This window comes from Homo sapiens, chromosome X, assembly GCF_000001405.40.
Source record: "Homo sapiens chromosome X, GRCh38.p14 Primary Assembly".
Taxonomy (NCBI): domain Eukaryota; kingdom Metazoa; phylum Chordata; class Mammalia; order Primates; family Hominidae; genus Homo; species Homo sapiens.
The window spans coordinates 136,093,112-136,115,127 of NC_000023.11; the positions used below are offsets into that span (position 1 = coordinate 136,093,112).

The window sequence follows — 22,016 nt, forward strand, 5'->3', positions numbered from 1 at the left end:
TCACTCTGTTGTCCAGGCTGGAGTGCAGTGGCACAATCTGGACTCACTTCAACCTCCGCCTCCCAGGTTCAAGGAATTCTCGTGCCTCAGCCTCCTGAATAGCTGTGATTACAGGCGTGCACCACCAAGCCCGGTTCTTTTGTGTGTGTGTGTGTGTGTGTGTGTGTTTAGTAGAGATGGGCTTCGCCATTTTGGCCAGGCTGGTCTCGAACTCTTAGCCTCAAGTGATCTGCCCACCTCGGGCTCCCAAAGTGCTGGGATTACAGGCGTGAGCCACCGTGCATGACCTGATTTCCAGTCTTTATTCCAGTTACTGATAAGAAATGTTGAGCTTAACAAACAAAGTAGTTTACCCTGCTTACTAAACCTTCTTTCACTTTTTGTGCTTTATTCCTAGTCTATGTCTGGCCTTTCACAGTTTCTTGGCCAATACTCCCAATTCTACATACTGGCTCTAATTTGTCTATTCCGTGATTATTCTGCTTCTGTGATTTTTATTCCTGGTCCACCACAGAATAGCACTGCCAGTAACCCCATTTACACTTAAAGTATATTAAAAAAAGCTCTTGTTTACATAAAAATAATCTGGTGACGGTGTCTATATACATTAATGTATGGGAACACCATTTGACTTAGGGGATTTACACACACACACATATATGCAGTCATGTGCCATGTAAAGATGGGGATGAAACCACCTTTGCAAAAATTATAACAGTGAGAAGATTATGACAGTGAAAGAGATCTGATTTAACCAACCCCCATTTTCCTTTAACCTCTAAACTGCCCTTAGTCATCCCTGGGTTTGGACCAAGTTAACTTTGGGAGAAATTTAGTATTTATTTATTTATTTATTTAGAGACGGAGTCTCGCTTTGTTGCCCAGGGTGGAGTGCAGTGGCGCAATCTCGGCTCACTGCAACCTCCGCCTCCTGGGTTCAAGTGATTCTCCTGCCTCAGCTTCCTGAGTAGCTGGGACTACAGGCATGCGCCACCACGCCCAGCTAATTTTTGTACTTTTAGTAGAGACAGGGTTTCACCATGTTGGCCAGGATGGTCTCGATCTCTTGACCTTGTGATCTGCCCACCTTGGTCTCCCAAAGTGCTGGGATTACAGGCATGAGCCACTGCGCCCAGCCAAAATTTAGTATATATACTTTAAATGGTAATAATCCTTTCCCCAAAACTAAACTGCCTTTGTAAAGCTAGTGAAAGACCACCAGGTTAGGAGGATGAGAGGAGCCTGAATTCTGCTGAAGTGTAGATATAAATGATTACCACCCATTTTTCCTGAGATGACAAGATTTATAACCTCCCAATTACTCCTACAGATAACATCACTAACCTAGAACCCAAGATTGTCCTTTTGAGATGCTTTCTCAGGTTTTTGCATTTCTGACAACCGATGGCTCCACCCAGACCCACCAAGTGGTCCTGTGACCCAACCCAAAAGTGAACTCAGCACATACGAGGGCCATTTTCCACACTCCTATGATTGCATCCTCAACCAATAAGCACCACCCATTCCTCAGCCTGCCAAACTATCCTCAAAAAATTCTAGCCTTTGAATTTTGTGGGAGGCTGATTTGAGTAATAATAAAACTCTGGTCTCCTGTTCAGTTGGCTCTGTGTGACTTAAACTCTTTCTCTATTACAATTCCCCGTCTTGATAAATTGGCTCTATCTGGGCAATGAGAAAAATGAACTCATTGTGTGGTTACAGGGATATGCTCTGAGAAATGCACCATTAGGCAATGTTGTCATTGTGTGAACATCATAGAGTGTACTTACACAAGTAAGTGTACTACGCACCTAGGCTATTCGGTATCGCCTATTCCTCCCAGGCTAAAAACCTGTACAGTATGTTATTGTACTGAATACTGTAGGCAATTGGAACATACGGTAAATATTTGTGTATTTAAACATATCTAAATATAGAAAATGTACAGTAAAAATATGGTACAAATGATAAAATAAAAGTATTAATACACCTGTATAGAGCATTTACCATAAATGGAACATCCGGGACTGGAAGTTGCTCTGGGTGAGTCAGTGAGTGGGTGGTGAGTGAATGTGAAGGTCTAGGACATCACTGTACACTACTGCAGACTTTATAAACACTGTATACTTGGGCTATGGTAAATTTGTAAAAAAACAAACAAACAAAAAAGTTCTTTCTTCAATAATAAATTGTGGCTCACGCCTGTAATCCCAGCACTTTGAGAAGCTGAGGTGGGTGGATTGCTTGAGCTCAGGAGTTCAAGACTGGCCTGGGCAACATGGCAAAACCCCACCTATACAAAAAATACAAATATTAGCTACAGGCATGTGCCTGTAAGTCCCAGCTACTCGGGAGGCGGAGGTGGAAGAATCACTTGAGCCCAGGAGGTCGAGGCGGCAGTGAGGCATGATGGCACCTCTGCACTCCAGTCTGGGTGACAGAACAAGACCCTGTCTCAAAAATTAATTAATTAATTAACCTTAGCATACTGTAACATTTTCATTTTATAAACTTTATTCATAACACATCTTAAAATACGAACGTTGTACAGATGTACAAAAATACATTTTTCTTTATATCCTTATTCTATAAGCTTTTCTCCATTAAAACAATATTTTTTAACCTTTTAAACATTTTTGCTAAAACTAAGACACAAACACACACATTAGATCAGGCATACACAGTCAGGATCATCTATATCACAGTCTTCCACCACCACATCTTGTTCCCCACTGGAAGATCTTCAGGTGCAATAAACATGAAGCTGTCATCTCCTGTGATAATAATGCTTTCTTCTGGAATATGTCCTGCAGGAACTGCCTGAGGTTGTTTTACAATTAACTTTTTTCTATATAAGTAGAAGGAGTATACTCTAAAGTAATGCTAAAAAGTATAGCATAGTAAATATATAAACCAGTAACACAGTCATTTACTATCTTGTTTTTGTTCAAACATTTAAGTTAGGTGCAGTGGCTCGTGCCTGTAATCCCAGCACTTTGGGAGGCTGAAGTGGGAGGACTGCTTGAAACCAGGAGTTTGAGAACAGCCTGGGCAACACAGCGAGTCCTCTTCTCTACAGAAAAAAAAAAATACAAAAATTAACTGGGTGTGGTGGGGCACACCTGTAGTCCCAGGTATCCAGGAGGCTGAGGTGGGAGAATTGCTTGAGCCCAGGTGTTAGTGGCTGCCACTGCACTCCAGCCTGGGCAACTGAGCAAGACCTCATCTCTTAAAAAAAAAAATTATTGAGCATTTTTTTATGGGACAAGCACCGTGCAAGGTGCTGGGACATAAGAGTAATTACAACAAAGTCCCTCAAGGAGCTCATAGTCTAATGGTAAACCACAGAGCTAACAGAGGCACACAGTGGTAAATGACTTACCCAATGAGGTGGAAATAGCTAGGTATGTGGAAACCTGGGACTAGAGCTGGAGAGAGGGCACGGTAGAACTTACTGTAAGTAAAACCCCTTTGATTGAAGAGCTGGGCTGCATACAGAAACACATTACAAAATCTGCTTGCAAAAACCTTCAGTTTCCAGTTTTCCCCACAATTGAATTTATGTCTCACAATGAATTAATCTATCATTTGATAGCATTTCTATACTTGGCCCCAAAGCCTTGGAGCATGCCATCAATCTGTTGAGACACAGCAATTTAGTAGACAGCTTAAAATCAAGAAGTATCTGACTCCAATTTCAGCATTAAGAACCATATTAAAACACTTCAGTTAAATCAATGAATGTAAATGTACAGCACATTTATGATACTTCTACATGTAGCAGTTTGGAAAAACTCTCCTCTAACCCTCATCCAGAGTATTCTAATAAGTGATGGATACCAAAGAAATTAGATAATTTGTCACTTTCCAATATATACACTATTTTGGCTGTACAAGGGCAAAAAGTGTCACTTGGAAATAGTGGATAAGTAATCTAAGCTTTACACAGATATATACAAAGACATCACATTTGGATCCAATATACAACAGTAACTGCAAACATGAACCAGTGTAAGGCAATTTCTTTTGTGATATATGACATAATCCCTGAAGGAAAGGGTAGAGCCTGCAAACAACCGTCCATTTCAGGCCTGACTGTCATTTTCATGACACCCTTTGTGACGAAGCTATTTCAGGAGGCAAGATGTCTATTCCGATGACAAAAAGCAGTGCATAATTATACATGGAGTTGTTTTCAAATGTGGAAACCAGAATTATTCAGGAATCTAAGTCGTGAACTACTCAAAAATAGTACTGGTGGTAATGCTGCTACTAACCGAAAACAAGAGCACTCCATGTCCATTGCTGTAAGAATCAAATGTGATGTGTAATTCTCCGCAGAGGATGTTCCCCCAAAACCTCAACAATACCTGAATTCTCAAATGTTATCAGTTGCTCATGTCAAGCAATTCTTCACCTTGCTGAGGATTTTCTTCTTCTTCAGGGTGTTCTGGATGTCTGCTCTCAGATGAAGTCCCAGTGCTCTCAGATGAAGTCCCGGCACTCTCAGACGTGTAGTTAGCTTCGTAATCCTTCTTCGATAGACACAAATAGGCGTCAACAGGTCCGTCGTTGTTACTTAAACGTAATGAGAAAGAGTCTTCAGAAATTGGAATTTCCAGTGTGATTTCTACTGGCAATTTAGCGACAAAAACGGTCTGTTCCTGGAAGCGTTCCAAGTTGTGAATGTCTTCAAGCGTCACATATGCTAGTTTTCCCAATTCTTTGTCATTTGTTAACTCACACAGTTGCTGAGAACAATCTTCAATTAACTTATCCAAGGCATCTTCTGTTGCTGATAATTTGGAAACTTCCTCCTCTAGCTTCTTTTCTTCGGGTGTTGCTCCAGAATTAAAATCAGGTCCAATCCACTGAATATGGTTCTTAGATGTTTTTTCAATTAGTTTGACTCCTTGTAAGACACTGATGATGTCATATATTCTTCGTCTGTGCACTGCCAGTTTTGCTGCTACCTGGCTTAAGCTAAGAACACCTCCAGGAGCCGATTTGAGAATATCTATAAATTTTCGCGTTGTACAAGCCAGTGATGTCTTATTATGAGGTTTCATATTTACAGTTTCTCTTTTAGACTCAGGTTGTACATCATCTTTGGAATTAATCCTTATTGTTGATGGCAGTGGGCACTCCGCATTGGTGGCGTCTCGGCGGCGAACCGTCTCCTCCGCCGGGTTAATGGGCAGGTCAGTCAACTTTCCTGCAGGCTGCTGCTGACTCATGGCTGCTCAGCAGGACGGCCTGCGGCCCTCACACCCCACACCCCGCAAGCTCTCCCGCCTTCTCCAGCTCGAGCACCGCTCCCAACTCACCAACTTCTGAATACTCAGCACGAAGCGGGTCCAAGGCCTGCTCGGAGGTGCAGTTCGACTAGGCCTTCTGGTCCGCCAGCAAACGCGCCACAGCCCCACGCGCCACGGCCCAGCCCGGGAGCTCCGGATGCAGACAGGAAGTGGGCAGGGCGACACGAGCGGCTCTCCGGTGGTCTCGCCCAACCGTCTGCCTACATGTGGAGTGCTGACAATTGTTACCAATTATGTACTGCACAGAAATGCATTTGTTATACTTTTATACCACAAGCAACGCAGTAGCTTCGTTTGCAGCAGCATCACGACAAACACGTCCGTAATTCATTGTGCTACCACGACACTAGGTGATAGGAAGTTTTCTGCACCGTTATAGTCTATGGGACCACCATCATATATAAAGTCCGTGGTTAAATGAACGGTCATTAATGCGATGCATGGCCGTATGTATATAGTTTTATACACTTTATTTATGTATTTATTTATTGACAGTCTCGCTCTGTCACCCAGGCTGGAGTGCAGTGGCACAATCTCGGCTCGCTGCAACATCTGCCTCCCGGGTTCAAGCAATTCCTTGCCTCAGCCTCCCGAGTAGCTGGGATTACAGGCACTCACCACCATGCCTGGATTTTTTTTTTTTTTTTTTTTTTTTTTTTTTTTTTTTTTTAGTAGAGACAGGTTTTCACCATCTTAGCCAGGCTGGTCTTGAACTCCTGACCTCGTGATCCACCCGCCACGGCCTCCCAAAGTGCTGGGATTATAGGCGTGAGCCACCGCGCCCGGCCTAGTTGTTTTTTTTTTAATGGAGTCTCCCTCTGTCACCTAGGCTGAAGTGCAGTGGCGTGATTTCGGCTCCCTGCAACCTCCTCCTCCCGGGTTCAAGCAATTCTCCTGCCTCAACCTCCCAAGTAGCTGTGATTACAGGTGCACACCACCACGCCTGGCTAATTTTTGTATTTTTAGTAGAGACAGGGTTTCACCATGTTGGCCAGGCTGGTCTCGAACTCCTGACCTCAAGTTATCCACCCACCTCAGTCTCCCAAAGTGCTGGGATTACAGTCGAGAGCCACTGCGCCTGGCCAGCTCTTTCATCTTAATAGGACAGGGAAGCCAGATTTCTTTCTGGGCCTTTTAGAAAACTGATGCTGTCATGCAAGATATTTAACCACCTCTTCCAAGCTTTCACATTCAGTTTCTTCCTTCCTTCCTTCCTTCCTTCCTTCCTTCCTTCCTTCCTTCCTTCCTTCCTTCCTTCCTTCTTTCTTTCTTTCTCTCTCTCTCTTTCTTTCTTCTTTCTCTCTCTCTTTCTTCTCTTTCTTGTTTTGAGACGGAGTCTTGCTCTGTCACCCAGGCTGGAGTGCAGTGGCACGATCTCAAGTCACTGCAGCCTTTGCCTCCCAGATTCAAGCTATTCTCCTGCCTCAGCCTCCCAAGTAGTTGGGATTACAGGCACCGGCGCGCCACCGGGCCTGGCTCTTTTTTTTTTTTTTTTTCCCTAGAGACAAGGTTTCACCATGTTGGCCAGGCTGGTCTCAAACTCCTGGCCTCAAGTGATACACCCATCCTCGCCTCCCAAAGTGCTGGGATTATAGGCATGAGCCACCGCACCCAGCCATAATTTTATACACTTTCAATACTTTTATTTTATGGGTCTGGGCAATGATTTTTTGTATTTGACCACAAAAGTTCAGGCAACAAAAACAAAAATAGATAAATGAGATTGCATGGAGGCTAGTCGTGGTGGATCACTCCTGTAAGCCCAATCCTTTATGAAGCAGAGGTGGAAGGATAGCTTGAGCCCAGGAATTCCAGACCACCCTGGGCAACACAGTGAAACCCCGTCTCTACAAAAAATACAAAAATTAACCGGGCATGGTGGCGCACACCTGTAGTCCCAGCTACTCAGGAGGCTGAGGTAGGAGGATCGCTTGAGCCTGGGAGGTTGAAGCTGCAGTGAGCTGTGATCGTGCCACTGCGCTCCAGCCTGGGCAAAAAAGTGAAACTCTGTCTTAATAATAATAATAATAATAATAATAATAATAATAATAATAACGAGGCCAGGGTGGCTCACACCTGTAATCCCAGAACTTTGGGAGGCTGAGTGGGGTGGATCACTTGAGGCAGGAGTTCCAGACCAGCCTGGCCAATGTGGTGAAACCCCGTCTCTACTAAAAATACAAAAATTTGCTGGGTGTGGCGGTGTGTGCCTGTAGTCCCAGCTACTCAGGAGGCTGAGGCAGGATTGCTTGAGCCTGGGAGGCAGAGGTTGTAGTGAGCCTAGAGTGTGCCACCACACTCCAGCCTGGGTGACAGGAGTGAAACCCTGTCGAGAGAGAGAGGGAGAGAGAGAGATTGCATCAAACCAAAAAGCTTCTGCACAGCAAAGGAAACATTAACAGAGTGAAGAGGCAACCTACGAATTGGGAGAAAATATTGAAGACCTAGAGGATTTTTTTCCTCCCTCCTCACCTTTCTCTTCTCTAAACCCCAGCCAGACCGAAAGCACAGAAGCAGTCCAGACTGCCAAGTAATGCTCACAATGAGATGCATCCTTTTCATTGTCTAAGATTTTTTCAAAATCCATCATTTATGATTAATTACTATATGCTAGTTACTGTGCTAATAACTGCATACATTCTCTCTAATCCTCAGGCCATTGCTATAAGGTAGAAGCTAGTATTATACGCATTTTCAGAGAATGAAACTAAGGCATAGAGAGGATAAGTAACTTTCCCAAATCACACAACCAGGATTTGAAACCAGGTCTCTATAACTACAAATCCCAAACTCTTAGTCATAATGCTCTCTAATGACTTCCCTAATGACTTTGCAATAAAGGGATTTAATCTTTGAGTTGACATAATTAACTGACATAATTAACTGATATAACTGGTTATACTAATTTACATTAAGCCATCGCCTCTCATTGCTACCTTAATATGAATTCTTTCTTCAGATTAGGCCAAACATGAAACAATGTCCAGAGGGAACTGAGAGAAGGACTGGGGAATTATTATGAGGAACAAGGGAGTTTGGAGCCATAGGCATAGTAAAAGCTGGGATTATGGGCCACAGTCCTGGGTGGCAGTCCTATCGGGGCACCATAGGGGCAATTGCAGCCTGTGGATGAGGATGGGAAGAGGACTGGGCAGGGAGAGAGCAGAGATCAGTTTCTCAGCTCTGTCATTAACAAGCTGTTTGAGCTTGAATTAATTACTTGACTTCTCTGAATTTCAATTTTATCATCTGTCATTGAGATGGTTAGAGTATCAGAGGACATACACAGGTGATCTGTGGTCTGAGTGAGGCCAGTAGACATGTTTTGTTTGGATAGCTTAGTATAAAACAATTTTTTATTTTAAACACCTTTAGGCAAGATATGTACTCACTAGATCAGCACAGGCTCCATCTCTCTCTCTCTGCTTCACCTCAAGGCGGTCTCACTCATTTAGTTCACTGCCAGCTCCTACAGTCATTTTAGGTTTTGACCACTGCCCTGGTCACAGCTTCTTGAAGAGATGTTCAGCCCTAATTACATTCATTACAAATGAAACTACATCTGCCCAAGGGGATCTAGCCTACTAGAGTGAGAGAGTACTGGATGAAGAATCAGAAAGGCCTGAGTTCTAGGCCTGCATCTGACACACAAAACTGAGTGATCTCAGTTAAATCAGCTAACTTCTTGGATTTCTGATTTTGTTTGCTCCTCTATGCAATATCCTGCTCTGCTATGCTCACATAGTTGTGGAAATCAAATACAGGTTGAGTGTTCCTAATCTGAAAATTGCAAATCTGAAATATTCCAAAATCTAAAACTTTTTGAGTGCCAACATGATGCTCAAAGGATGCTCTCATTGGAGCATTTTGGAGGTAGGCTTTTCAAATTAGGGATGCTCAGCTGGTTAAAGTACCTGCAAATATCCAGAAATCTAAAAAATCCAAAATCTGAAACACTTCTTGTCCCAAGGATTTTAGATAAGGGCTACTCAACTTGTAGTATAAATAATGTATTAGTCAGAGTTCTTCAGAGAAACAGAACCAGCAGGAGATAGATATCTGTCTCTATCTCTATCTCTATCTCTATCTCTATCTCTATATCTATATCTATATCTATATCTATATCTATATCTATGTCTATATCTATATCTATCTCTACCAATAAGCTTCTTTAACAGACTTTAAGGCAAATTTTCTTATTTCTGGCCGGGCACAGTGGCTCATGCCTGTAATCCCAGCACTTTGGGAGGCAGAGGCGGGTGGATTGTTTGAGTTCAGAAGTTGAAGACCAGCCTGGGCAACATGGTGAAACTCTGTTGCTACCAAAAAATAAAAAATAAATAAATAACCAGGCGTGATGGCACATCCCTGTGGTCCCCGGGAGGCTGAGGCACGAGAGGAATCATTTGAGCCTGGGAGGTGGAGGTTGCAGTGAGCCGAGATTGTGCCATTGCACTTCAGCCTGGGCGACAGAGTGAGACCCTGCCAAAAAACAAACAAACAAACAAAAAACACCAAGAAAGAATGTGTGTTTGCAGAAGTCCTTGATATTTCTTGTACTTATAACTTTTAAACTGATGTCATTATTTTATTTTTTCTTTTTCTGAGATGGGGTCTCACTCTGTCGTCCAGGTTGGAGTGCAGTGCCCCAATCTCGGCTTATTGCGGCCTCCTACTCTGGGTTCAAGTGATTCTCCTGCCTCAGCCTCCCAAGTGGCTGGGAGTACAGGCACACACCACCAAGCCCTGGTCATTTTTGTAATTTTTTTTTTAGACAGGTTCTCACCCTGTCGCCCAGGCTGGAGTGCAGTGGCACAATCTCTGCTCACTGCAACCTCTGACTCCTGGGCTTAAGTGATCCTCCCACCTCAGCCTCCCAAGTAGCTGGGACTACAGGTGTGCACCGCCATGCCCAGATAATTTTGTATTATTATTGTGTGTGTGTGTGTGTGTGTGTGTGTGTGTGTTTAAACAGGGTTTTGCCATGTTGCCCAGGCTGGTTTCCAATTCCAGGGCTCAAGCAATCCACCCACCTCAGCTTCTCGGAGCGCTGGGATTACAGGTATGAGCCACCGAGCCCACTGACCTTTTTTATTTGTGTGTGTGTGTGTGTGTGTGTGTGTGTGTGTGTGTGTGTGTTTTACCATTCAAGTTATGAGAATGTCTCATTTTATCCTCCTTCCCTAAAAGTCTGGAATTTTTCAATACTGTTTTTAATTACAGGAATACATGATGAAATATAGCAGAAATGGCACAGGCTTTGTAGTCACATCCAGGTTCCAGTCTCTCCTGTACCACCTACTGGCTGAATGTCCTTTGGCAAATCATTTAGCCTCAGTTGCTTCATGTGTACAGTTGGGTTAGCAACAGCTCACTTACAGAGTTATTGTAAGCATTAGAGATAATGGGCCCATGGAAGGAGTGCAATAAAAGACAGCTCTTGACATTCACTACACTTTATTATATGGTGGGTGGGTGTTGAACAGAAGCAAAATCACCTGATTTTTTTTTTCAGTCTCACTCTATCACCCAGGCTGGAGTACAGTGGTGGAATCTTGGCTCACTGTAGCCGTGAGCTCCCGGGCTCAGGTGGTTCTCCCACTTCTACCTCCTGAGTAGCTGGGACCACAGGAGTGTGCCTCCACACCCGGCTAATTTTTGTATTTTTGGTAGAGGTGGGGTTTTGCCATGTTGCCCAGGCAGGTCTCGAACTGCTGGGCTCAAGTGATCCACCTGCCTGGGCCTCCCAAAGTGTTGGGATTGTAGATAGGTGTGAGCCACTGTGCTTGGCCCTGTGATCTCCTTTATGTCCTCCTCCAAGGCTCAGCAATGCCTCTCACCGCTTTCCCACTGGCTCACATAGTTCCAGCCTTTCTGGCTTCCATGCTGGTCCTCAAAAATGTCCCACACACTCCATTTTCATGGCCTTCACACTTGCTGTTCCCTGTCTAGAATATTCTCAGATATCTTCATGGCTTGCTTCCTTACTTCACTCAGGTCTCTGTCCAAATGTACCATCTTAGACAAGAGGCCTTTCCTCACCATCCTAAATGGCATAACTCCACATCCGTCTCTATGGCCTTGATCTGCTTTAGTTTTTATGTAAAGGCATCATCGCCACCTGACATATGTATCTGTGTATTACATGTCTCCCCTTCATTAGAACGTAAGCTCCATGAGAGCAGGGCTTTTTATCTCTTTTGTGAACTGCTGTATCCCTGATGCCTAGAACTGTAGGTGTTTGAGATGTATTTCCTGAGTGAACAAATGAATGGACAGACCAGATGAGTAGAGAAGTAAACATTCCTTTGCAAAGCAGTGTGATCAGTGCTAGGAGAGCTTTATACCGGGTGTTGTGGGAATCCCTAGTCTGACTTGGGGGTGGAGTGGGGGTAAGAATTATTAATGAAAATTTCTTAGAGCAAGTCACATCTGAGTTGAATCCTGCAGAATGAGTGGGAGTTTTCAGGCCTAGAAAGTGAGGAAAGGGTATTCCAGGGAGATTAAAACAGTGCTGCAAAGTCCTATATGCCAGAAGCTTCAGAAATTTTAGATAGTTCAGAGTGACAGAAAGGAAAAAAAGAAAGATGGAGGGAGGGAGGGAAAGAACGAGGCAGGAAGGAAGGGAAAGGAGGAGGAGAAGGAGGAAAGGCAAGGAAAAGGAGGAAGGGGAGGGATGGAGTGAGGAAGGAAGAGGAGAGAGAGGAGGAGGGAGGGGAGGAAGGAAGGGAGAGAGAAAGGAAGAAAGGAAAGAAGGAAGGAAGGGAGGAAGGAAGGAAGAAAAGGAAGAAGAGAGAGGGAGAGAAGGAGGAAGAAGAGGGAAGGAGAGAGGGAGGGAAGAAAGAGGAGGGAGGGAAGAAAGAGGAGGGAGGGAGGAAGAAAGGAGGGGAGGAAATCTGTGCTCTCAAGGAGCTCATGATTTAGTACTAGGGGATAACCATGTAAACAATTGAAAATCAGTTTGATTAAATTGGTGGTAGAGCTATATTCAGGGTGGAGTAGGAACACACAGGGAAGGGGGTCCTCCTTCTTTGAAGGGAGGAGGAGCCCTGGAGGGAAAGAGAAGGCTTACCAGAGAGTATTGAAGGCCTGACTCTTCACCAGGCAGATGGAGGGGAGAAGGCCCAGTGGAAGGAGAGAGAACAAGACTTGCAAGGACATAGGGCTGTGAGAGCAGAGTGGCCTTTGGAGGTTCCTGGGCATAGAGGCCTTTGGGGCCACAGTAAGGGGTCTGGATTGTATTCCAGCAACAGTGGGAGCCACTGAAGGACTTTAAGTGGAGAGGGGTGAGGGAAATGTTACAGATTCAGGATTAGCTCCTAAATCAATCTTTATTTAATTTTAATTTTTTTTTTTTGAGATGAAGTCTCACTCCGTCGCCCAGGCTGGAGTGCAGTGGTGCGATCTCGGCTCACTGCAACCTCCACTTCTCAGGTAAAAGTGATTCTCCTGCCTCATCCTCCCAAGTAGCTTGGACTACAGGTGCAAGCGACCACACTGGGCTAATGTTTCCTTTTTTTTTTTTTCTGTATTTTTAGCAGAGATGGAGTTTCACCATGTTGGCCAGCTTGGTCTAGAACTCCTGACCTCAAGTGATCCACCTGCCTGGGCCTCCCAAAGTGTTGGGATTACAGGTTTGAGCCATCGTGCCTGACCTTAAATCAATCATTTCTATCTTCTCTGTGAATAATCAATTGAAAATAAGATCAAGCTTGGAGGCAAGGAGATCATACTTGCAGACCACATTCTGCAAATATTCTGCAAATATCTACATCAACATAAGCTATGTTGCAGCAGTGGCTATTCAAAGTGCATCACCTGGGATCATGTTAAATAAGCAGAATTTCAGGTCTCACTGCACACCTGCCAAGTCTGAATCTGCATTATAACAAGATCCCCAGGTGACTGGTGCCCATATTAAAGTTAGAGAGTCATTGGCCAAGACTAAATGGGGATGGAGAGGAGGCTATAGATATGGGAGAGTTATTAAGAGAGGATCAACAGGATTTAGCCTCAGCTGTATTGCCTTATTTCTCCATTTGCTGACTTCCCTGTTTTTTGGTGAACTAGAGTTCCAACTGACTGCACTCTCCTGGGTTGGGTTCCCACCACAGCTGAGAAGCTGACCTTCTCTTTGGGTCTGGAGCTGTCTGGAAACAAAAAATTGGTTTCTTTTCAGGAGACCCAGTAGATGGCTCCTTATGCAGCTCAAAATCAATAAAATGTAAAATAAAACCGTGTCGGATAATTCTACTTTTTTTTTTATCTGTGTTCTCTTGATTTTACAATTTAGTATACATACATAAGCACACACATTTTTTGGCTCAAACATTTGAAAGTGAGCCAGGAGAATAGGGTCTGGGGGCAAGGAACCTAAGGCCATTTCACGCTGACTTCTTAGTACTAAATAGAAAGGAAAAGTATACCTTGGGCGGTATGGCCATTTTCACGATATTGATTCTTCCTATCCGTGAGCATGGAATGTTCTTCCATTTGTTTGTGTCCTCTTTTATTTCGTTGAGCAGTGGTTTCTAGTTCTTGAAGAGGTCCTAAAAAAAAGAAAGGAAAAGTATAACTTTCTACACCTAAGTAACAAAAGTACCACAGACTACTCCCTTTGCAAACCCCTACCTTTTCTGCACGGCAGATGGGAAATTGAATGTATCTCTGATTGGTCGCTGTTTGCAACCAATCAGGCGTTTGCATAGGAGTGTAACTTTCTAACTGTACTTCAGCCTCTGATTGTGAGCCAAGTCTTCATTTGCACAGAAGTACAACTTTATAATTTCACTTTAGTCTCTGATTGCAAGCCACCACTTTATTTAAATGAGGTGAGCACCAAGTGGCCAATGGGAAACTTCTAAGGGGTATTTGCACCCGAGAAGATTCTGTATTCCGGCCCTTGAGCCACTGCTCGGGCCTGCTCCCACGCTGTGGAGTATACTTTCGTTTTCAGTAAATCTCTGATTTTGTTGCTTCATTCTTTCCTTACTTTGTTTGTGCGTTTTGTCCAATTATTTGTTCAAAACACCAAGAACCTGGACACCCTCCACCGGTAACAAAAGTATGTGTTAAGAACTGTGAGGGTCTGAGGTTTTATCCTGTTTGAAAACCCACAAGTTAGGCCAGGCAGGGTAGCTCACACATGCAATCCCAGCACTGTGGGAGGCCTAGGTGGGCGGATGACTTGAGGTCAGGAGTTAGAGACCAGCCTGGTCAACATGGTCAAACCCCGTCTCTACCAAAAAATACAAAAATTAGCCGGGTGTGGTGGCTCCAGCCTGTAGTCCCAGCTACTCGGGAGGCTGAGGCAGGAGAATCGCTTGAACCTGGGAGGCAGAGGTTGCAGTGAGCTGAGATCACGCCACTGCACTACAGCCTGGGCGACAGAGTGAAACAGTGTCTTTGTAACAGAGTCAAACAGTAAAAACTAAAACTGACCCTACACAATTATAAAAACACCACAACGGAAAAACTGGCCCCATTCCTTGGCAGTTCCACTTCAACTCCCAACGGTTTGGCGTATAGCAGTAGTTCAGTCTTCTTCCTATAAACAAACAACGTTATGTATGTGTAGTTTTACCTAATCCAAGCATATATTATTTTTTTAGAAAGTTATACATGTATATATATATGTATACTTTTATAATTAACTTTTTATTACTTAACAACTTCAATCTTATTTTCATGACAACTCATATAGATTCTTGTTAAAAGTGCCTGTGACTGTGTTGTATAAAACAAGTCTTCTGGCCAGGCACGGTGGCTCATTCCAGGCTCAAGCAATTCTCATTCCTCAACCTCCCAAATAGCTGGGATTACAGGTGTGCACCACCATGCCTGGCTAATTTTTGTATTTTTAGTAGAGAGGGGGTTTCACCGTGTTGGCCAGGCTGGTCTTGAACTCCTGGCCTCATGTGATCTGCCTGCTTCAGCCTCCCAAAGTGCTGGGATTACAGGCATGAGCCACCACGCCCGGCCTGGTTCACCATCTTACATTACCATCAGCAATGTGTGAGGTTTCCCATTACTTCACATCCTTGCTAATATTTTGTGCTGGCAGTCTTTTTGATTTTAGCCATTCTAGAGGGTATGAAATGGCATTTCACTGCAGTTTTAGTTTGCATTTACCTGATAATTAATAATGCTGATGAGCTTTTCATGTGTTTATTGTCCCTTCATAGGTCTTCGTTTTTAAAGTGTCTATTCAAGTATTTTGTCTATTTTTCTATTAAGTTTCTGTATTTTGTTCTTTGTCAGTTATATGTATTGTGAATATTTTTTTCCCAGTTTGTGGCTTGACTGTTCATTTTCTTTTTTCTTTTTCTTTTTTTTTTAACTTTTGTTTTAGGTTCATGTGTATTTGTACAGGTTTGTTATATAGGTAAACTCGTGTGACAACGGTTTGTTATATAGATTGTTTCATCATCCAGGTACTAAGCCTAGTACCCATTAGTTATTTTTTCTGATCCTCTCCCTCCTCCCAGCCTCCACCCTCAAGTAGACCCCAGTGTGTGTTGTTCCCCTCTATGTGTCCATGTGTTCTCATAATTTAGCTCCCACTTAAAGTGAGAATATGCAATATTTGATTTTCTGTTCCTGCATTAGTTTGCTAAGGATAATGGCCTCCCACTCCTTACATGTTCCTGCAAAGTACGTGATCTCATTCTTTTTTATGGCTGCATAATATTCCATGACTTATATGTACCACATTTTCTTTAGCCAATCTACCATTGATGGGCACTCAGGTTGATTCCATGTCTTTGCTATTGTGAATAGTGCTGCAATGAACATTCATGTGCATGTGTCTTTATGGTAGGATGATTTATATTCCTTTGGATATTTACCCAGGAATGGGATTGCTCAGTGGAATGGTGGGTCTATTTTTAGCTCTTTGAAGAATTGCTACACTGTTTTCCACAATGACTGGACTATTCATTTTCTTAATGGTGTCATTTGATGAGGAGAAATGTTAAATTTTAATTGTTTCATTTATCAATTTTTTCTTTTAAGGTTAGTGCTTTCTGGGTCTTATCTAAGAAACCATTGCCTATCCCATGTCATGAAGATAATTGCCTATGTATTATTTTAGAAGCTTTAGAGTTTCAGCTTTTGCCTTTAGGCATATGATGCATCTAAAAGTAATTTTTAATTAAGTGGTGAGATAGGGGGTCAAAGTTCCTTTTTCTTACATAAGAATATCTAGCTGTGGCTAGGTGTGGTGGCTCACGCCTGTAATCCTAGCACTTTGGGAGGCTGAGGCAGGTGGATCCCCTGAGGTCAGGAGTTCGAGACCAGCTTGGACAACATGGTGAAACCCCGTCTCTACTAAAAATACAAAAAAAATTAGCCAGGCATGCTGGCAGGCACCTGTAATCTCAGCTACTTGGGAGGCTGAGCCAGGAGAATAGCTTGAACCTGAGAGGCAGAGGTTGCAGTGAGCTGAGATCACGCCATTGCGCCCTCCAGTCTGGGCAACAAGAGTGAAAGTGTGTCTCAAAAAAAAAAAAAAAAGAAAAAGAAAAAAAGAAAAAGAAAAGAAAAAAGAAAAAGAAAAAGAATATCTAGTTGTTGGCCAGGCGTGGTGGCTCACGCCTGTAATCCCAGCACTTTGGGAGGCCGAGGCGGGCAGATCATGAGGTCAGGAGATAGAGACCATCCTGGCTAACACAGTGAAACCCCATCTCTACTAAAAACACAATTAGCTGGGCATGGTGGTGGGTGCCTGTAGTCCCAGCTACTCGGGAGGCTGAGTCGGGAGAATGGCTTGAACCCTGGAGGCGGAGCTTGCAGTGAGCTGAGATCACACCACTGCACTCCAGTCTGGGCAACAGAGCGAGACTCTGTCTCAAAAAAAAAAAAAAAAAAAGAATATCTAGCTGTTCCCAGCTCCATTTGATGAACAGACTATCGTTTCCCCCATTAAATTGTCTTTGCACCTTTGTTGAAAATTAACAGGCAGTACCTGTATGGGGTTATCACTGGACTCTCTATCCTGTTCCATCAATCTATTTGCCTGTCTTTATGTCAGTACCACACAGTAGCTTTAGAGTAAGTGTTGAATACAGGCAGTGTGAATCACCCAAAGTTTTTCTTTTTCAAGTTTGTTTTGTTTAGGTCTTTTGCATTTTCAAATAAATTTAGAATAAGCTTGTCAATTTCTATAAAAGAAATTGACTGGGATTATAAATGGGACTGCATGAAATCCAGAGATCAATTTAAGAGTTTGGCATCTTAACAGTATTGATTCTTCCAACCCATCAACATGATATATCTCTCCATTTATTTAGGCCTTCTTTAATTTCTTTCAGCAATATATTCTATTTTTCAGCCTAGAGATCTTGAACTGCTCTCATTATACTTTTTCTGAGTGTTTGAAATTTTTTTAATTTTATAAATAATAATGTGTTTCAAATTTTCTTTTCCCAGTTTTTCATTGCCAATATACAATTCGTTTTGTACATCAACCTTTTATCTCATAACCTTGCTTAATTTGCTTATTAGTTCTAGTATTTCTTTTGTAGATTCCTTAGCTTTTTTCTATACACAATTATGTTATTTGAAGAAAAAGTTTTACTTCTTTTTTTTCCAATTTCTATATCTTTTATTTCTTTTTCTTGCTTTATTGCACTGGCTAGAACCTCCAGTATGATGTTGAATAAAAGTGATGAGAATGGACATCCTTGCTCTGTTACTAATTTCTAAAAGAATATTCTGGCTGCTGTGTAAAAAAAAAAATGGTCAGTGAACAAGTAAAGGCTAAAGATATAAATTTGTGATTCATGAATATATAGATAGTATTTAAAACATGAGCCCTGATGAATAACAACATTTAAAGATTGGGAAATAACTTAAAATAAAAATAAACTGATAGCAGAACTGGAAAAATGAAAAAGATGCTGCCAGGAGGCCAGAAATAATAACAGATAATATTTATTGAATGTTTACTATTTACCATGACCTATTCTAAGCACTTTTCATATATTATCTTATTTACACTTTGCATGAGTAGAGGAAATAGGGAAGTAAAAGACACTGCAGGAGAAGCTTGAGGATGTGCGATATCACAGAAACAAACTAACCAAAAAGATTGTCCTAAGAATGAGAGAATGACTGACTTTAGAATATCACTGAGAAGCTAAATAAGGACAGAAGAATGTTCCTTGGACTTGCCAACATTGAAGCAAGAGCTTCAATAAAGTGGAGAGTCTGGAAGATGGGTTGGAGTGGGTTGAAGAGTGGATGGGAGGTGAAGAGGAAGAGGCAGTATGAGTAGATAATTCTTTGGAGAAGTTGGGCTAAGAAGGGAGCAGGAAAAAGTATCAGATGGAGAGGGCTGTGGGGTCAAGGAAGGAATGTTCGTGCCCCTAGTGTACCAGCCACACTATCCTTGTCCAGCTCTCCCACACTTGCCTTTGCCCACACTTTTCTTTCCATATGCCAAGTTCTAACTCCATCCTTCTCCATCTGGCAAACTCTTTTCTTCTAAGACCCATCTCAAGTACCCCTTCCTCTGTGAAGACTTCACTAGCAATCAGGGTAAAGTGAACCACTTCCTCCATCATGCCCCTAGGTATCATGTACACACTTCTATTAGAGCACTCAGCACATTGATTTTAATGTAATTGTTTTATTTGCTGTGTGTCTCCCCTACTCTACTATGGCTTCCTCGAGGACCATGGGCAGATTTTACCCATTTTTGTTCATTCCCTTGTTAAAAATCCTCCACTGGAAATGGGTAACTGGCAATACAGGTGTGTTCAGGTTGTAAAAATTCATCAAGCTCTACACTTACATTCAACACAAAGGTCTTTTTTTAATGTACAAAAAATAAGTAATGTAAAAACTCTTTCCCTATCCCATTTATTTCAGGTTAAAATCCAATTACTGAGTACCTACTATGTTTCCAGCACTGTGCTAGGTTCTTAGATAATCCAAGCAGGCACCTTTGGCCTTCCTGTCCCTTTCCAGCCCTTGGTCTGTGCTGGCTGGAGTCTGAAGAAATCATAAACATGTTCTGCCCCAAGATAATTGGTTCCAGGATGGTCAGATCCTTGCTTGGCTCTGTAGGATACTTCACGAGGAGCTTGAAAATGCTGGATAAACAAAGGGGATGAATTTACAAATATTTTGGACTTCATGTTATCCTGTTAATATACTTCTGGAAAGTAGCAAAGTCTTTTGCAATAATACCTTAATATTTCACATTCTGCTTGTGAGCTATTATCTATATATTAATATTCCTGTTGGGCCATATGTCATTAACCAACAACCAGCGAAGTTCTGAGAAACTGATCTTTGAACCAATGTGATGGAATGTTCTACCTACTTTTTAAAGGCTCAAAATAAATTTTTCATATGTTTATCCAAAAAGTTAAAAAAGCAAACATCTTATTTCTTCATTTTTAGTATTGGAGTGTATTACTTACACTTAATCTGTGTTTAGCAATCTGAAATAGGGCCTTAAGAGTGTTTGAATTCCTGGACCTCTTTCACATTTCTGGACTTCAATTGAGTGAGATGAAAACATTGCAACAGTGGCAATCTGTAAACAGGGAAAATCAACCCATATTTAGCAATTGAAATAGGAATATGACTTGTGTAACATTCCAGTTTTGAAGTTTAGCTTTGGCTAAATTGTCTGACTTCAGCTAAATTGCTCAACTTTCCTGAGTCTTAGGATCTCCATCTTATAAGATGGAAATACTATAGTCTGTAAGATTAGCAATGAGAAAGAATATACTAATAATTGTAGAGCTTTTTGCTAGGAGAAAGTATGATTACTCATATGAATTGCTTTATCTGAGGGAAAGATAATAATTCTGCCCTCCAATTACAGAACCTTCTGAGGTGTTCTCATGTAGAAGGCCTTAAGAAGACACAGGAACTTGTACATTTAAAATGGGTGTTGATGGTGTATAAATATACTTCACAAAAGCTGCTTTTGAAAAAAAACATAGGTCCATTTGAGCACAATGTCTCCAATCTAATAGAACCCACTAAAGAAACTTCTCTCAGGTTCTTATGCCAGGAAAAGCTGCACTCATCCTGAGCAAAACTATGGTTTATCTTTTTTAAATTTTATTATTTATTTATTTATTAAATTTATTTATTTTGAGACGGAGTCTTGCTCTGTCGTCCAGGCTGGAGTGCAGCGGCACAATCTCAGCTCACTGCAACCTCCGCTCCTGGGTTCAAGCGATTCTCTTGCCTCAGCCTCCTGAGTAGCTGGGACTACAGGTGCGTGCCACCATGCCTGGCTAATTTTTTGTATTTTTAGTAGAGAGGGGGTTTCACCATGTTACCCAGGCTGGCCTTGGTCTCCTAACCTCGTGATCCACCTGCCTCGGCCTCCCAAAGTGCTGGAATTACAGGCATGCGCCACCGCACCCAGACTGGTTTATCTTATATACAAGACAAACTTGATCTTGCTTCCTTCTTTCCTTTGCCCACCAGGAAGCCCAGAGGCAGGTTTGTAATTCACTTAAGGCATTCCAGCATACTGTTTTAATTTTACTTTTTGTTTCACTTAATTTTCCTTCCTACATTTTCCCTTGGTCATGAATTTTATCTATTGATCATTTTTTATCCTGTTACATTACACAGGTTGGTGTAACCCACTTCATATCCTCTTTGGAAGGAGGCAGTATGTAACCAACCAAACCACTACCTTCGGTTACTTATTAATTAACAGGAAGGCAGTATGAACATAACAAATGCTACTCCATGTTGGAAACACCATTGCTGCTAACCTTTTTAGAGAGAGTGAAGGGGGAATGGACTCAGGCTCCACTTGACTTACTAGGTTACTTGGCCATAACAATCTCCAAGAATAGGTGTGCAGATAATGACTGTATGTAAATATCCAATTAAATATCTTTGAAATTTATAAGGCCAAAGCTAATTTATTATGCTTTGAGACACTTATTTCTCATGGACACTCTGTACCCATCTGCCTAGCAAGAAAGAGACACTCTGGAACAGAAGGTCAAGCAATAGGTGATGGTAGGCAACATTTCCATTTTCTCAGTGTACTTGGAATAAGAATTCCACTGCTCACCATGGGCTGGAAGACCCCAAAGAAGCTGACTGTTGTCTGTCTCTCCAACCTCCTGTCCTTCCACTCTCTCTCTTGTTCCACAGGCCACTATCGCCTCCTTTCTGGAAATGTCTGGCTTTTCCCCATCGTAGAGACTTTAGATTCCTTTGTTCCTTCTGCTTGGAATGTTCTTTTTCCAGCTCTGGGTTCAGGCAATCCTTTCTCCATGAGGCCTCAGCTGACATAGCACCTCCTAGGAGAGGCCTCCTCTGACCACCCTTTGTTTCTTTCCTCATAACCCGCAATTAGATTATTTATTTGTCTGCTTGTTTTTACTCTGCCTCCTTCACTAGACTGAAACCTTCTAAGGGCAAGGCTATCTTATTCATATGAAGAATATTGAATCTCCATAGTGGTGCCTCCACAGGGACTCTTACCATCCCCTCCTGCTTATTTCCACTATAGCTCTAATCACAACCTGAAAGCTGCTTTCTTTGAGTTCTTGGTTATGGCCTGGCTCTCCCTATTAGACTGTGAGCTACATGAGGGCACGAACCGGGTCTCCCTGGCTCACTTCTATATCCCCAGTACCCAGCCCAGACCCTGACACTGGATCGATGACAGAGCCTCAGCTTTTACATTTAGGGCAAGCACCATGG

At 42.4% G+C, this 22,016-nt stretch overlaps 1 pseudogene, besides 2 other annotated features; it reads right to left on the minus strand.

The window, feature by feature from the left end:
• Positions 4,252–5,451: an enhancer, noted in NCBI's record as "CDK7 strongly-dependent group 2 enhancer chrX:135179522-135180721 (GRCh37/hg19 assembly coordinates)". NCBI's record gives its function as "activates an origin of replication core promoter dependent on BRD2, BRD4, P300/CBP, MED14 and CDK7 cofactors, with strong dependence on CDK7, by STARR-seq in HCT116 cells {active_cell/tissue: HCT116}" and the evidence as "EXISTENCE:reporter gene assay evidence [ECO:0000049][PMID:35650434]".
• Positions 4,388–5,236, minus strand: E2F6P4 (E2F transcription factor 6 pseudogene 4; annotated as a pseudogene).
• Positions 21,399–21,598: a silencer, noted in NCBI's record as "fragment chrX:135196669-135196868 (GRCh37/hg19 assembly coordinates)". NCBI's record gives its function as "represses an EF-1alpha promoter that drives an FKBP-Casp9 reporter gene in an ReSE screen in HepG2 liver carcinoma cells {active_cell/tissue: HepG2}" and the evidence as "EXISTENCE:reporter gene assay evidence [ECO:0000049][PMID:32094911]".